This window comes from Homo sapiens, chromosome 17 (genome assembly GCF_000001405.40).
Source record: "Homo sapiens chromosome 17, GRCh38.p14 Primary Assembly".
In the NCBI taxonomy this organism is placed as follows: domain Eukaryota; kingdom Metazoa; phylum Chordata; class Mammalia; order Primates; family Hominidae; genus Homo; species Homo sapiens.
The window spans coordinates 38,074,076-38,090,947 of NC_000017.11; the positions used below are offsets into that span (position 1 = coordinate 38,074,076).

At 43.0% G+C, this 16,872-nt stretch overlaps 1 pseudogene across 1 annotated transcript in view; it reads left to right on the forward strand.

The window, feature by feature from the left end:
• The first annotated feature begins 4,186 nt into the window (after positions 1 to 4,186).
• Positions 4,187 to 16,872, forward strand: part of LOC101929950 (puromycin-sensitive aminopeptidase-like protein) — a 40,103-nt pseudogene continuing 27,417 nt past the window's right edge. Inside the window, exon 1 of the transcript NR_164156.1 lies at positions 4,187 to 4,271. The product of NR_164156.1 is annotated as a puromycin-sensitive aminopeptidase-like protein (transcript). The remainder of the gene's footprint in view (positions 4,272 to 16,872) is intronic.

A 16,872-nucleotide genomic window follows, 5' to 3' on the forward strand; every position in this document is an offset into this window, starting at 1 on the left:
TGAGCTGCCGTGCCCAGCCATGTTTCTGAATTTTTAAGTCAACTTCTGAATAGGCAAAGAATTCTTTTTGTTTTTTTGTTCAACTTTAGTGCTATAAATCGCCAGTTGGACACAAAGGTTTTAGTGCTATTTAGGTATGTTTTGGTGAAATAGTGTGAAGGAATATTGCTGCTTAAAAGATAAGCCATTCATTAAATGACGTCTTTGTTTTGAAACATGAAGACTTATGAGAAGCATTTTTTTTGTAAGCCAAAGTAGTTTCACTTTATGTGTTACAGATTTTGAATAGCTCATTATAGACTTTGTAATTTACTGTCTCTCATTTAGGCAGGTAATTTTAGTTGCCAGCTAATCATGTTTAAATATGTATTGGTTATTAATAAATGATTACCCGTATACAGGTCTTTCATGCAGATATCGTACTACTCTGATGTTCTTACCTAGTTTTGTGGTATGTTCAGTTGTCTAAGAGCATTGTTGATCTGCACACAGATTTTGTTTGGTCTATACAGTGTTTCTGAAAACTTGAATTAGTTACCATTAATAAAAAATAGAGAGACTGCACATGAAATCTGAATTTGTAGCTTTTAAAAAAAAAAATTGGAAGATCAGGCCAGGTGCGGTGGCTCATGCCTGTAATCCCAGCACTTTGGGAGGCCGAGGCGGTCAGATCACCTGAGGTCGGGAGTTCGAGACCAGCCTGACCAACATGGAGAAACCCCGTCTGTACTAGAAATACAAAATTTACCGGGCGTGGTGGCACATGCCTGTAATCCCAGCTACTAGGGAGGCTGAGGCAGGAAAATCGCTTGAACCTGGGAGGCGGAGGTTGCGGTGAGCCGAGATCACGCCATTGCACTCCAGCCTGGGCAACAAGAGCAAAACTCCGTCTCAAAAAAAAAAAAAAAAATTGGAAGATCTGTCAGCACTAAACCTGCCAGTCACCATAGCGATAATTCTTTGGCTCCAAGAAATGGCTACCACCTCCTTCTTTTAAGGGGTTGTGCACAGCTTCCACATGGCTTGCTACACTTACCTGCCTCAGGAAGCATTTCTTTGTGATTTAGGGCATCTGTGTTTTTGTTATTTTAGATTTAGAACATTCAAATGTCTGGAAATGAATTTGAAGTTTTGTTTTAAGCAAGGTTATGACTAAATTGAAAAATGCACAAGAGGCCAGGCGTGGTGGCTGACGTCTGTAATCTCAGCACTTTGGGAGGCTGAGACGGGCGAATCACGAGGTCAGGAGTTTGAGACCAGCCTGACCAACAAGGTGAAACCCCATCTCTACTAAAAATACAAAAATTAGATGGGTGTGGTGTTGCACACCTGTAATCCCAGCTACTCAGGAGGCTGAGGCAGGAGAATCACTTGAACCTAGGAGATGGAGGTTGCAGTGAGCCAAGATCGCATCATTGCACTCCAGCCTGGGTGAGAGAGCGAGACTCCATCTCAAAAAAAAAAAAAAAAAAGAAAAATGCACAAGAGTGTTAAACAAGCAGTTCACAGTGGAAAAACTTAATGGCGCGTGCACACACACACACACACACACGAGAAAAGATGCATAGTAACCAATGTTATTAGTAATCAGGGAAATTCTGATTAAACCAATGGACTATCAGTACAAAAATTTTTTTTTTTAATTTTTGAGACAAAGTTTTGCTCTTGTTGCCCAGGCTGGAGTGCAATGGCTCAATCTAGCTCACTGCAACCTCCACTACCTGGGTTCAAGTGATTCTCCTGCTTCAGCCTTCCAAGTAGCTGGGATTACAGGCACGCACCACAGGCCTGGCTAATTTTTTTTTTTTTTTTTTTTTTTTTTTTTTTTTAGTAGAAATGGGGTTTCACCATGTTGGTCAGGCTGGTGTTGAACTCCTGACCTCAAGTGATCCACCCACCTCAGCCTCCCAAAGTGCTGGGATTACAGGCGTGAGCCACTGTGCCTGGCCAGGACTATCATTTAATACCCATTAGATTGTCAAAAATACTAAAGTTTTTCAGAACATGCTGAAAGTGGGATTTCTTCATTCTTTGCTCATGGGAATGTCAGTTGACACCACTCTAGAGGATAATTTGGCAGTTCTTGGTAAAGTTGAAGATTTATGTCCAACAATCCAGAAAGTCCACTATTAGGTTCCTTTCCATGGAAAAATTCTCTCATGTGTGCACAGGAAAACATGGACCAAGATGCTAGTTTGTTTGTTTATTTATTTATTTATTTATTTTTGAGACAGAGTCTTGCTCTGTTGCTCAGGCTGGAGCGCGGTGGCACAATCTCCGCTCACTGCAAGCTCCGTCTCCCAGGTTCACATCATTCTCCTGCCTCAGCCTCCCGAGTAGCTGGGACTACAGGCACCTGCCACCATGCCCGGCTAATTTTTTGTATTTTTAGCAGAGACGGGGTTTCACCATGTTAGCCAGGATGGTCTCGATCTCCTGACCTCATGATCCGCCTGCCTCGGCCTCCCAAAGTGCTGGGATTACAGGCGTGAGCCACCGTGCCCGGCCTTAATTTTTGTATTTTTAGTGGAGATGGGGTCTCTCTACTCTCTATGTCAGCCAGGCTGGTCTTGAATTCCTGGCCTCAAGTGATCTGCCTGCCTGACCCTCCAAAAGTGCTAGGATTACAGGTGTGAGCCACCACACTCGGTGGTAAGAGTTATTGTATAAAGTTTTGACATAATTTATAGTATCAGCCTTCTTCCTCTATCCTCACAGAAGGCCTCATGGTGAGTTTGATGTGCAGGTTAAAATATATAATTATTGCAATATGTTGTAAGAAATGTTTCCTAATTAAGATTTTTATGAAATTAAACGTATTTATTTATTTATTTTGAGATAGAGTTTCACTCTGTTACCAGGCTGGAGTGTAGTGGCAGGATTTCAGCCCACTGCAATCTCTGCCTCCCGGGTTTAAGCAATTGTCGTGCCTCAGCCCCCTGAGTAGCTGGAATTACAGGCCTATGCCACCTTGCCTGGCTGATTTTTGTATTCTTTTTTTTTTTTTTGAGACGTAGGCTCACTCTGTCGCCCAGGCTGCAGTGCAATGGTGCGATCTCGGCCCATTGCAAGCTCACCTCCTGGGTTCAAGTGATTCTCCTGCCCCTGCATCGTGAGTAGCTGGGATTACAGGTGTGTGCCACCAGACCTGGCTAATTTTTAGTAGAGATGGGGTTACACCATGTTGGCCAGGCTGATCTCAAACTCCTGACCTCAAGTGATCCGCCTGCCTCGGCCTCCCAAGGTGCCAAGATTACAGGTGTGAGCCGATGCCCCCAGCCTATTTTTATTTTTTGAGACAGAGTCTCACTCTGTTGTTCAGGCCGGAGGTCAGTGATGTAATCATAGCTCACTGCAGCCTTGCTTGACCTCCTGGGCTTAAGGGATCCTCCTCCTTCAGCCTCTCCTGTAGTTAGGACTATAGGTGGGTACCATCACAACCTCCTAATTTAAAATTTTTTTTTGTCTCACTGTGTTGCCCAAGCTGGTCTTGAATTTTTGACCTCAAGTAATCCTCCTGCCTCAGCCTCCCAAAGTGTTGGGATTACAGGCATGAGCCACTGTGCCCAGCCCTTTAATAGTTTAAAATCAAAGTTTAAGTAGAAAACATTATTTTATTTGGCTCATTGGTTAGATGTAAGTGATGTGAAATACTTAAACATCCATTATTGTTTTTAATATAATTTGGAAAATATGAGTTGCTTTGGATTATTACAACTTCATTTATTTGTACCATTGATGCATAAATTCTCAGTCTAGGTTTTAGCGAAGTCTGGATTTTAAAAAATTGACTGTGATATTAGTTCAAGTCTTACGAACATCATTATTATTATTATTTGAGAGACACAGAGTCTTGCTCAGTTGCCCAGGATGGAGTGCAGCTGCACAATCACAGTTTATTGCAGCCTCAACCTCCTGGGCTCAAGCAGTCCTCCCACTTCAACCTCCCGAGTAGCTGGGACTATAGGCACACATCACAACTCCTGGCCAATTTTTGTATTTTTTGTAGAGATGGGGTTTCGCCATGTTTTCCAGGCTGGTCTCAAACTCCTGGGCTCAAGCGATCCTCTTTGCTTAGCCTCCCAAAGTGCTGGGATTACAGGTGTGTGCCAACACACCTGGCCAAGTTGTATATACTATTAATCTAGGCTATTTCTGACACTGTTGATTTTCCTTTTCCCCTTAGGTGAGGCAGGCGACTAATCAGATTGTGATGAATTGTGCTGATATTGATATTATTACAGCTTCATATGCACCAGAAGGAGATGAAGGTAAGAGCTGTTTTCCATTTTAATTTGCTGTCTGCATGTGCATATGTGGGGGGTGTGTGTGTGTGTGTGTGTGTGAGAGAGAGAGAGAGAGACATTTTCAGGTTAAGACTTCAGTGTTTGTTACTTTAGAAATGGGTAAATTCAGCTGGGTGAAGTGGCTCACGCCTATAATCCCAGCACTTTGGGAGGCTGAGGCGAGCAGATCCCTGAGCCCATGAGTTTGAGACCAGCCTGGGCCACATGGCGAAACAAAAACAAACAAACAAACAAAAATATTAGCTAGGCATAGTGGTGCGTGCCTGTAGTCCCAGCTATTTGGGAGGCTGAGGTGGGAGGATCTATTGAGCCCAGGTGGCCGAGGCTGCAGTGAGCCATGACTGCGCCGCTGCACTCCAGCCTGTGCGACAGAGTGAGACCCTGACTCAAAAAAAGAAAAAGAAAAAGGGTAAAATGTTTATGGGAAATATTGAATAGTATAACCTAACAGTATTGTGAAATAAATGTCACAATTTATTTTACTTTTAAATTTATTTTTATTTTTATTTTTTTTGAGACAGAGTCTTGCTCTGATGCCCAGGCTGGAGTGCAGTGGCATCATCTAAGCTCACTGCTATCTCTGCCTCGTGAGTTCAAGCAGTTCTCCCTGCCTCAGCCTCCTGAGTGGCTGAGATTACAGGTGTCCACCATCATACCTAGCTAATTTTTGTATTTTTAGTAGAGACAGGGTTTTGCTATGTTGGCCAGGCTGGTCTTGAACTCCTGATCTCAGGTGATCTGCATGCCTCCCAAAGTGCTGGGATTACAGATGTGAGCCACCACACCCGGGCAAATGTCACAATTAAAATTCCACTTCCAAGATTAACTTATTTTGTGGTACTAGGGAAATCATATTTTCATAAGTATAAAATGAATATAATACGCATAATAAAGCTGATGAGTTATTTGAAAAATTAAGTACTTTGAACATGAAAGGCTCCTCAAAGAGGCTTCGTTTTTATGTTTTTCTTAAAGTTTTTTTTTCTTTTTGTACTATAGTTTAAAATTGAGATAAGTCATACTCCTAATTCAGAGAAAAACATTTGCTTTATGAGACAATATGAAGATTAGAAGCTAAATAATGGAGTTAGTTACAGGGGAAGAACATGCTAAAAAGAAACATGGTATAGAATGTGGAACTCGATTAGTGTCTATAAAATGAGAACTGTTTTATTTTATTTTATTTTATTTTATTTTTTATTTTTTTTTGAGACGGGGTCTCGCTCTGTCCCCCAGCCTGGAGTGCAGTGGCGCGATCTCGGCTCACTGCAAGCTCCGCCTCCCGGGTTCACGCCATTCTCCTGCGTCACCCTCCGGAGTAGCTGGGACTACAGGCTCCCGCCACCACGCCTGGCTAATTTTTTTGTATTTTTAGTAGAGACGGGGTTTCACCGTGTTAGCCAGGATGGTCTTGATCTCCTGACCTCGTGATCCACCCGCTTCGGCCTCCCAAAGTGCTGGGATTACAGGCGTGAGCCACCGCGCCCGGCCGAGAACTGTTTTAGACCTTATAATTTTAGTATGAAAGTAGTCCGTTTTGACTGGAAATCTTATTCCCGTATGAGCTGATTTTTAAATAGATACCAAGTTTGGCATAAACTCTTACAAGTACATCAGTATTGGAGCTGGATTGCTTTTTACTTTTTTTTTTTTGAGAGAGTCTCGCTCTGTCACCCAGGCTGGGGGGCAGTGGCATGATCTCAACTACCACAACCTCTGTCTCCTGGTCTCAAGCCATCCTCCCACCTCACCCTCCCAAGTAGCTGATATTACAGGCGTGTACCACCATGCCTGGCTAATATTCGTATTTGTATTTTTTTATAGATATGGGGGGGGTCTTCCTATATTGCCCAGGCTGGTCTTGAACTCCTGGGCTCAAGGGATCCGACCTCTTCGGCCTCGCAGGTTGCTGGGATTACAGGCAAGAGCCACCACACCTGGTTGCCTTTTTACTTTTGATTTCACCTAGACATTCCTTGTCAAAATGGTTATTGGTTACTCTGAGACTTCTTTAATAAAAAATAATTTAAGGCCGGGCGCAGTGGCTCACGCCTGTAATCCCAGCACTTTGGGAGGCCCAGGTGGGCGGATCACAAGGTCAGGAGATAGAGACCATCCTGGCTAACTCGGCGAAACCCTGTCTCTACTAAAAATACAAAAAATTAGCCTGGCGTGGTGGCGGGCGCCTGTGGTCCCAGCTACTCGGGAGGTTGAGGCAGGAGAATGGCGTGAACCCGGGAGGCGGAGCTTGCAGTGAGCCGAGATCGCGCCACCGCACTCCAGCCTGGGCGACAGAGCGAGACTCCGTCTCAAAAAAAAAAAAAAATAAATAAATAAAATAAAATAATTTACACATTTGATCTTTTAACTTACATTTTATATTTTGATTTCCTCTCTCCTTTACATTATACTGAAAAGAAGTTTCATTTTAAGGCCTCATAACATTTATGATTTTTTCTTAAACTATTTTGTCTATAGGAAGTCAAAGTAGTAGCAGTTGAACATACTGTTCCGAAGAAGTACTTAAGTTCAATTGATTGTAAATTAGATCAAACTGCTGGAAGAACAGATTCTTCAAATGGACTTGAATGAGTGCCACTTTTAAAAAATTGTCTGGTAAATGAAAGAGTGATTATTTAATTTCTTTAACTGTGGAGAAAAATAGAAGTACTTTAGCCAGGTATATCAAAGCAACAAGGCTTTCTTTGTTGCAGGTAGAGAATGTTTAAATTCGATGTGTGGTTTTAAAGTGGTATGTAGATAGGTAGATCTAGTAATATAAATGTGTACCTTCCAGCTGGCATGGTTTCAGCTCAAGTTTGTTTTTTATCTTCCTGTACTAAAAATGTCGGGATAGAATTCAGGTGACTGAAAAGTTCTTTTTTTTTTTTTTTGAGATGGAGTCTAGCTCTGTCGCCCAACGATCTCAGCTTGCTGCAACCTCCACCTCTGGGGTTCAAGCAATTCTTCTGCCTCAGCCTCCTGAGTAGCTGGGATTACAGGCGTGTGCCACCACACCCGGCTAATTTTTGTATTTTTAGTAGAGATGGGGTTTCACCATGTTTGTTAGGCTGGTCTTGAACTCCTGGCCTCGTGATCCACCCTCCTCAGCCTCCCAAAGTGTTGGGATTACAGGCGTGAGCCACCGCGCCCGACCTGACTGAAAAGTTTTGAATATGTGTAACCGAATGTTGCTAAGCTCATAATGATCTGTATCTCACGGAAGCCCAGTTAGTGTTCTTACTAAGAGAGTCAGGAGAGAAATGAAAACTTAATGGAAAAGAAGATTTGAAGAGAGATTCTGATAAAACATTAAATTATTTTAGATACATAATATATATTCAGTGCTGGGTGCAGTGGCTCACGCCTGTAATCCCAGTACTTTGGGAGGCTGTGGTGGGTGGATCATGACGTCAGAAGTTCAAGACCAGCCTGGCGAAGATGGTGAAACCCCATCTCTACTAAAAATAAAAAAATTAGCTGGGTGTGGTGGCGGGTGCCTGTAATCCCAGCTACTCAGGAGGCTGAGGCAGAGAATTGCTTGAACCCAGGAGGCAGAGGTTGCAGTGAGCCAGGATCGTGCCACTGCACGCCAGCCTGGGTGACAGAGACTCTGTCTCAAAAAAAAAATATTTTCCTTCAGAACTAGCTAAGGTACATTTCTCAACACTTTTCTACCACAGCAACAGGAAAAAACCTGAAGTCATGTGTAAGCCCATGTAATTTTAGAGTTTAAGAGAATGGGAAGTTGTATGAGTTGTTAAAGTTTGAATTGGGGGCAGCCAGGTGTGGTGGCTCACACCTATAATCCTAGCATTTTGGGAGGGCTAGGTGGGCGGATCACCTGTGGTCAGGAGTTTGAGAACAGCCTGGCCAACATGGTGAAACACCGTCTCTACTAAAAACACAAAAATTAGCTGGGCGTGGTGGCAGGCACCTGTAATTCCAGCTACTTGGGATGCTGAAGGCAGGAGAATCGCCTGAACCCGGGAGGTGGAAGTTGCAGTGAGCGGAGATTGTGCCACTGCACGCCAGCCTGGGCGACAGAGCAAGACTCTGTCTCAAAAAAAAAAAAAAAATAGTTTGGATTGGGAACAGGGATAGATTTGGGCTTCCACATGTATGTATGTGTGTGTGTGTGTGTGTGTGTGTGTGTGTATATATATATGTAATAAAAAAAGAAGATAAAAGTAAAATCAGAAAATTACTTTTAAGGCATGAAATTGTTGCTTCTTTTAATTTTTTTTTTTTTTTCTTTTTGAGATGGAGTCTTCACTCTGTCGCCCAGGCTGGAGTGCAGTGGCGCAGTCTCGGCTCACTGCAAGCTCTGCCTCCCGGGTTCACGCCATTCTCCTGCCTCAGCCTCCCCAGCAGCTGGGGCTACAGGCGCACGCCGCCACGCCCAGCTAATTTTTGTATTTTTAGTAGAGACGGGATTTTACCGTATTAGCCAGGATGGTCTCGATCTCCTGACCTTGTGCTCCGCCCGCCTCGGCCTCCCAAAGTGCTGGGATTAAAGGTGTGAGCCACCGTGCCTGGCCAATTGTTGCTTCTTTGTGTAAGTTTTTATTTGAAGAAAAAGGCCATTTTTTTGTGATATGTGCAGTCATCCTAAAAGACCTATGGGCATGTGTCTGTTTTTTTTTTTTTTTTTTTTTTTGAGATGGAGTCTTGCTGTATTGCCCAGGCTGGAGTACAGTGGCGCAGTATCGGCTCACTGCAACTAGTAGAACTTTTTTTTTTTTTTTTTAAAGAACTTGTTTTAAAATAATCCTTAATAGGCTTTTATTAACTCTGTTTGGATATTAGTTATGTACCCTTTTCTCTTTGCAAAAATGAAAAATCATTTCAAGTAGAAATTAAAGGTTTGTTTCTCATCCCTTTCTTTAGATATAGTAACAGTTATACCAGATATATATATATATATGTTTTTTTGTTTTTTTTTTTTGAGACAGAGTTTCACTCTTGTTGCCCAGGCTGGAGTGCAATGGCATGATCTTGCTCACTGCAACCTCTGCCTCCCAGGTTCAAGCAATTCTCCTGCCTCAGCCTCCCGAGTAGCTGGGATCACAGGTGTGCACCACCACGCCCAGCTAATTTTTGTATTTTTAGTAGAGACAGGGTTTCACCATGTTGGCCAGCCTGGTCTCGAACTCGAGACCTCAGGTGATCCACCTACCTCGGCCTCCCAAAGTGCTGGGATTACAGGCATGAGCCACCACGCCCGGCCCAGTTATACCAGATATAAGCAAATTTGCTAGTAGTTTAGATTTCTGGAATTGTGCCAACTACACATCAAGAGACTATTTAGCTTTGTTACAGAAGTCAGTATCAGTTTCTTGTTATAAGACGAGACCTGGTTTTACAGACTTTTCTATTTCTCAATGGAACTTTACTCTGAAGATATACTCTTCCATTTAAATACTAGTTCCAAAACCTACATTATATGGTGGCTGCTTAATAAACATTTAACATTTTGGTTAATTTAAATCTTGTTGATGTGTATACATGAATAACTGGGCTAAAAGCAGATACCTTTGATTATTGTGAAACTTCAAGTAAATATTGTGTGAAAAGGACCCCTTCTGTCTCACAAATTCTGGCCCCTCAGCTCATTGTCTGAACAGTGATTCCCTTGCATATAATAAATTCCCTTGGCTTATATATAATAATAAATGAAGTTTATTATTTATTTGAACTTTTTACCCCTGTAAATACCAAGGTTCTTTTTGCCTAAGTGGTAATTTGTGTCATTCAAAGAGTTTTTATTAAATATTATTATTATTATTTGAGATAGAGTCTCACTCTTATTGCCCAGGCTGGAGTGCAGTGGCACTATCTCGGCTCACTACAGCCTCCGTCTCCTGGGTTGAAGCGATTCTTGTGCCTCAGCCTCCCAAGTCGCTGGGATTACAGGTGTGTGCCACCAAACCTGGCTAATTTTTAAATTTTTGTAGAGATGGGGTTTCCCCATTTTGGCCAGGCTGCTCTCAAACTGTTGACGCCCACCTTGGCCTCCCAAAGTGCTGGGATTACAGGTGTGAACCACTGCACCAGACCTTAAATACTCTGTTTAAGTGATAGTTTGATAAGTGTGAACGCAAGTCTGAAATAGGTTTCTTTGCTTGTGAGAAAGTATAACGAATTGCCAAGACAATAGTGACAAACAGAGGGCATATTTTTCAAAGAGGAAGAGTTTATATAGTGTTAACATTAAGACAAAAGTCTTAAGTTTCTAATTTCTGATCTTGTTTGTTGGGATTTCTTTTTTTTTTTTTTTTTTTTTGAGACAGGTCTTTCTCTGTCATCCAGGCTGGAATGCAGTGGCACAGTCATGGCTTACTGCAGCCTCCTGGGCTCAAGTTACTCTCCCACCACAGCCTCCCGGAGAGCTGGGATGGCAGGCATGTGCCACCACACCTGGCTAATTTTTTAATTTTTGTAGAGATGGGGTTTTGCAATGTTCCCCAGGCTGGTCTCAGACTCCAAGACTCAAGCAGTCCTCCTACCTCAGCTTCCCAAAGTGCTGGGATTACAGATATGAGCCACTGTGCCTGGCCCTTGTTTGGATTTCTATGCTTATCTGTGAAGTATATTCTGGTTTCTATGCAGGATAGATCCATTCTCAAATAAACAACCCTTAAGTATCATTAGTTCAAACTGGAGCCAAATAAATGTCAGCATTAGAAGGAGCAAGTGATAGTTAGCCAGCCCCTTTATTCCTTTTTAGTGCAAATCAGAGATAAAGAACATGAAGTTTGCAGTGTATTTGCATTCTTTCATTTTTACATTTGTTGGTTTTGAATAATATTGAGGGGCTGTCTGATAAAGAACCTGTGTAGGTTTCCATATGGCTATATACAAAGTATATGAGCGTAGAATAGTTTTAAATTTTGTCTTAGTTATACTTGGTAAGTTTTAAAACGTTATTTAAATAGCCTTAAGGTGATATGGATTGCTTTAGTGACTGCTGTTTTAGGAATTTAGTTGGCTTATTGCTGACTATAGAGGGAACGTTTTATCTTCTTTTTAACCTCCAGTTCAGGTTAGGTGCCTAACCAAGTGAAACATTTTTCGTAATATAATGTTTAATAGTGATAATTATAAAAATAATGATGAGTTTAGTGTTTACTCTATACCAGGCACTAAGTGCATTACCTGTTCATATAGAGAACAACCGTAGGCACAGAGAGGGTATCTACTTTAGGTAATAAAACTGATAAATGTTAGAGCCAGGATTCAAACCCAGGCGGTTTGGATCTAGGGTCCATGTACTTGCCACTCTATTGCTTGTCATTAATGTAACCACACCATATTGCAATTATTTGTTTGTGTCATGTCTGTACTACTTTTCAATGGAATCTTAAGATCCTTGAGGGGCCGGGCATGGTAGCTCATGGCTGTAATCCCAGCACTTTGGGAGGCCGAGGCGGGCGGCTCACCTAGGGTCAGGAGTTCAAGACCAGCCTGGCCAACATGGTGAAACCTCGTCTCTACTAAAAAAAAAAGTACAAAAATTAGCTGGGTGTGGTGGTAGGCGCCTGTAATCCTAGCTACTCGGGAGGCTGAGGTGGGAGAATTGCTTGAACCTGGGAGGCAGAGGTTGCAGTGAGCCAAGATCACGCCATTGCACTCCAGCCTGGGGGACAAGAGACTTCTACTCAAAAAAAAAAAAAAAAAGATCCAGTAATTATGATTCATTCTTTTTCATTTGTGGTTTTCCCTGGTATCTGACATATAGTAGGGATTTAATAAATATACATTGAATGAAACGAAGAAAATCTAGATAAATGGAGTAAGTCTGTCATACAGTAGTTCCTCCTTATCTATGGCAGATGTGTTCTAAGACCCCCAATGGTACGCCTGAAACCACAGATAGTAGCAAAACTTATATATGCTATGTTTTTCCCTATACATATGTACTATGATAAAGTTTAATTTTTACATTAGAAATAGTAAGAAATTAACAAAAGCTAATAAAAAATAGAACCATTATAACAATATACTGTAATAAAAGTTACATGAATGTTGTGTGCATCTCTCTCTCTTTTCTTTTTTTTGAGACTTTGCTCTGTCGCCCAGGCTGGAGTGCAATGGTGCGATCTCAGCTCACTGCAATCTCTGCCTCCCAGGTTCAAGCGATTCTCCTGCCTCAGCCTCCTGAGTAGCTGGGACTACAGGCGCATGCCACCACACCCGGCTAATTTTTTGTGTTTTTAGTAGAGACGGGGTTTCACCGTGTTAGCCAGAATGGTCTCCATCTTCTGACCTCGTGATCTGCCCGCCTCGGCCTCCCAAAGTGCTGGGATTACAGGTGTGAGCCACAATATCTTTTTTTTTTTTTGAGATGCAGTTTCACTCTTGTTGCCCAGGCTGGAGTGCGATGGTGTGATCTCGGCTCACTGCAACCACTGCCTCCCGGGTTTAAGCAAGTCTCCTGCCTCAGCCTCCCAAGTAGCTGGGATTACAGGCATGCGCCACCACGCCTGGCTAATTTTGTATTTTTAGTAGGGACAGGGTTTCTCCATGTTGGTCAGCCTGGTCTCAAACTCCTGACCTCAGGTGATCTTCCCCCCTCAGCCTCGTAAAGTGTTGGGATTACAGGCATGAGCCACCGCGCCCAGCCAATATCTTCTTTTTAAAAAAAATTATTTCATTTATTTATTTTTAGAGGCAGAGTCTCTGTTGCCCAGGTTGGAGTGCAGTGGTGCCATCATATCTCACTGCAGCCTCAAACTGCTGGGCTCAAGTGATCCTCCTGCTTCAGCCTCCCAGTTAGCTAGGACTATAGGTATGCACCAACACACCCAGCAAATTTGTAAAAATTTTTTGTGAGTCAGGTCTGGCTTTATTGCTGAAGTTGGTCTTGAACTCCTGGCTTCAAGCGATCCTCCTGCCTCAGCCTCCCAAAGTGCCAGGATTACAGGCATGAGCCACTGTGCCCAGCCTCTCTTATAGTATCTTATTGTATTATACTCACTCTTCTTCTTTGACATTTCCAAACTGCTAGCATCACTACTCTTGTGCTTTGAGGCCATTATTAAGTACAATAAAGGTTACTTAAACACAAGCCTTGTGATACATTGACAGTCAATCTGATAACTGAGATGGCTACTATGTGACTAATGGGCTGGGTGGCATATATATACAGCATGGATAGGTCGGAGAAAGGGATGATTCATGTTCTGGGCAGAATGGAATGGGAGGGCACAAGATTTCATCACACTATTCAGAACAGTACAGTTTAAAACTTATGAATTGTTTGTTTCTGGAATTTTCCATTTAATATTTTCAGACTGTAGTTGACTCTAGGCAATTGAAACTGTGGAAAGTGAAACTGCAGATAAGGGGGACTTGTCAGGTCTGCATTTCTTCATGTGCTCTATCCTAGTAACTTTATGGGTAACAAAATTATTTCGTATTTGAGATTATTTTGTTACCAGCTTTAACTTGTATTTTACTTCCCTTTGAGGACTACCATCAAGATACTTACTAATTGTAAAGATTCTTTACAGTATTTTAAATATTAAGAAAATGGAGAGCATAAAAAACTGCTGTAAATTATGTAGTTTTTGCATTAAATGTAGAGAAAACACTGATTGCATAATGTTAGTAACATTGTAGTGTATGCTGTTCTTTTTTTTTTTTTTTTTGAGATGGAGTTTCGCTCTTATTGCCCAGGCTGGAGTGCAATGGCATGATTTCGGCTCGCCGTAACCTCAGCCTCCCGGGTTCAAGTGATTCTCCTGCCTCAGCCTCCTGAGTAGCTGGGATTACAGGCATGCACCACCACAGCCGGCTAATTTTGTATTTTTAGTAGAGATGGAGTTTATCCATGTTGGTCAGGCTGGTCTCGAACCTCCGACCACAGGTGATCCGCCTGCCTCAGCCTCCCGCAGTGCTGGGATTACAGGCACAAGCCGCCGCGCCCGGCCGTGTATGCTGTTCTTAAGTGTGAAGCTGGAAGAGTTAGTTGTTCTCCAAATCAATGCTTCCTTACTTTTTTTCAAGGCATTAGTAGAAACTGATGTTTTCCTGGTACATAAGGAAGAGGAGGCTCACAACTGGAGGGTATCAGAGATCTTTCATTGCTCTAGGCCTACCAGGCTGGTCCAAGGGCCAAGGGAATTATTATCTTGATAAACCTGTAATACATGTTTGGATCTGCCACAGTTAGGGAAGCTCTGCTATAGTTTCAAGTTAATAGAATTAGAAGGGAAGTTAGGTAGTAGTCAGGGCTCATTTTATTTATTTGTGCCTTCTGTTTTACTTTTTTTTTTTTTTTGAAATGGAGTCTTGTGCTGGCGTGACCTCGGCTCACTACAACCTCTGCCTCCCGGGTTCAAGCAGTTCTCTTGCCTCTGCCTCCCAAGTAGCTGGGACTACAGACGCAGGCCACCACGCCCGGCTAATTTTTGTATTTTTAGTAGAGATGGGGTTTCCCATGTTGGCCAGGCTGGTCTCGAACTCCTGACCTTGTGATCCACCTGCCGTGGTCTCCCAAAGTGCTGGGATTACAGGCATGAGCCACCGCACCCAGCCTGTTTTACTTTTTTCTTGATCCCAGATCTTTTTCAGTTTTCTTGCTTTTTTTCTCAAAGAACTAACCATTGCTTTGTAGACCTCAGTTAACTATTATTTCCTTATTAACTTCTGCTTCCTTTGGGTTTACTTTGCAAGGTTTTTTTTTTTTTATTTTTGAGACGGAGTCTTACTCTGTCACGCAGGCTGGAGTGCAGTGGCGTGATCTTGGCTCACTGCAATCCCTGCCTTCTGGTTTCAAGTGATTCTTATGCCTCAGCCTCCTGATAGCTAGGATTAAAGGCATGTGCCACCACACCCAGCTAATTTTTGTATTTTTAGTAGAGGCGGAGTTTTACCATGTTGGTCAGGCTGGTCTCAAACTCCTGACCTCAAGTGATCGGTTCGCCTTGGCCTCCCAAAGTGCTGGGATTACAGGTGTGAGCCACCGCTACCGTGCCCGGTCTACTTTGCAGATTTAAAAAAACTTCTTTAGGCTGGTCCCAGTGCAGTGGTGTTTATAACTCATCAATCATAGCCAGTTACAGATTTCTTTATTCCTCCTTCACTCCCACTGCTTCACTTGACTGCCCTTAAAAAAAAACAAAAAACAAACAGAAGTCTTGAGATGGATGTTTGGCTTATTACTTTTCAGTCCTTCTTTCTATTATATTCATTTAAATATAAATTTTAATCCTAAAAATGTACTGCTTTTAGCTGCAGCCCACACTTTTTTTGGTTTGTTTGTTTTGGGGGAAATTCTCCAGGCAGTAGTTATGGCTGTTGTTGCTTGCTGCTGCTTCTTTCCTATTTTTGTTGATAGCTTTGTGAGAGTACCTGTAATGTTGACATACTATAAAGGGTACATCTTAAAATATGTAATTTGATAAGTTTTCTCATGAATGTAACCAGGTAATGAGCATATTCATCACCCTAGAACATTTCCTCATGCCCCTTTATAATCCTTTTCTCCCCTTTTCCTTGCTCCTTCCCCAGGCAATTATGATTTGATTCCGTGTTATTTTTTTTTTGTACAGAGTCTCTGTCACCCAGGCTGGGGTACAGTGGCTCTATCTCAACTTACTGCTACCTCCACCTCCCGGCTTAAAGCAATTCTTGTGCCTCAGCCTCCCGAGTAGCTGGGACTTCAGGTGTACGCCACCACACCTGGCTCATTTTTGTGGGTTTTTATTTGTATTAATTAATTAATTTTTATTTATTTATTTAGAGATGGAGTCTCGCTCTGCTGCCCAGGCTGGGGTGTAGTGGTGTGATCTCGGCTCACTGCAACCTCTGCCTCCCAGGTTCAAGCAGTTCTCCTGCCTCAGCCTCCCAAATAGCTGGGATTACAGGCTTGTGCCACCATTCCTGGCTAATTTTTTCTATTTTTAGTAGAGATGGGGTTTCACCATGTTGGCCAGGCTGGTCTTGAGCTCCTGACCTCAAGTGATCCACATGCCTCAGCCTCCAAAGTGCTGGGATTACAGGCATGAGCCACCACACCTGGCCCACCCCCCACTTTTTTTTTTGAGACGGAGTCTCGCTCTGTCACCCATGCTGGAGTGCAGTGGCTAGATCTCGGTTCACTGCAGTCTTTGCCTCCTGGGTTCAAGCAATTCTCCTGTTTCAGCCTCCCAAGTAGCTGGGATTACATGCGCCTGCCACCACGCCTGGCTAATTTTTGTGTTTTTGTAGAGACGGGGTTTCACCATGTTGGCCAGGCTGGTCTTGAACTCCTGTCCTCAGGTGATCTGCCTGCTTTGGCCTCCCGAAGTGCTGGTATTCTAGGCGTGAGCCACCATGCCCGGCCTCTTTTTTTGTTAAGATAGGGTCTTGCGGTTGGGTGTGGTGGCTGACGCTTGTAATCCCAGCACTTTGGGAGGCCGAGGTGGGTGGATCACAAGGTCAGGAGATCGAGACCATCCTGGCTAACATGGTGAAACCCTGTCTCTACTAAAAATACAAAAAATTAGCCGGGCGTGGTGGCGCATGCCTGTAGTCCCCCCTACCTGAGAGGCTGAGGCAGGAGAATTGCTTGAACCCG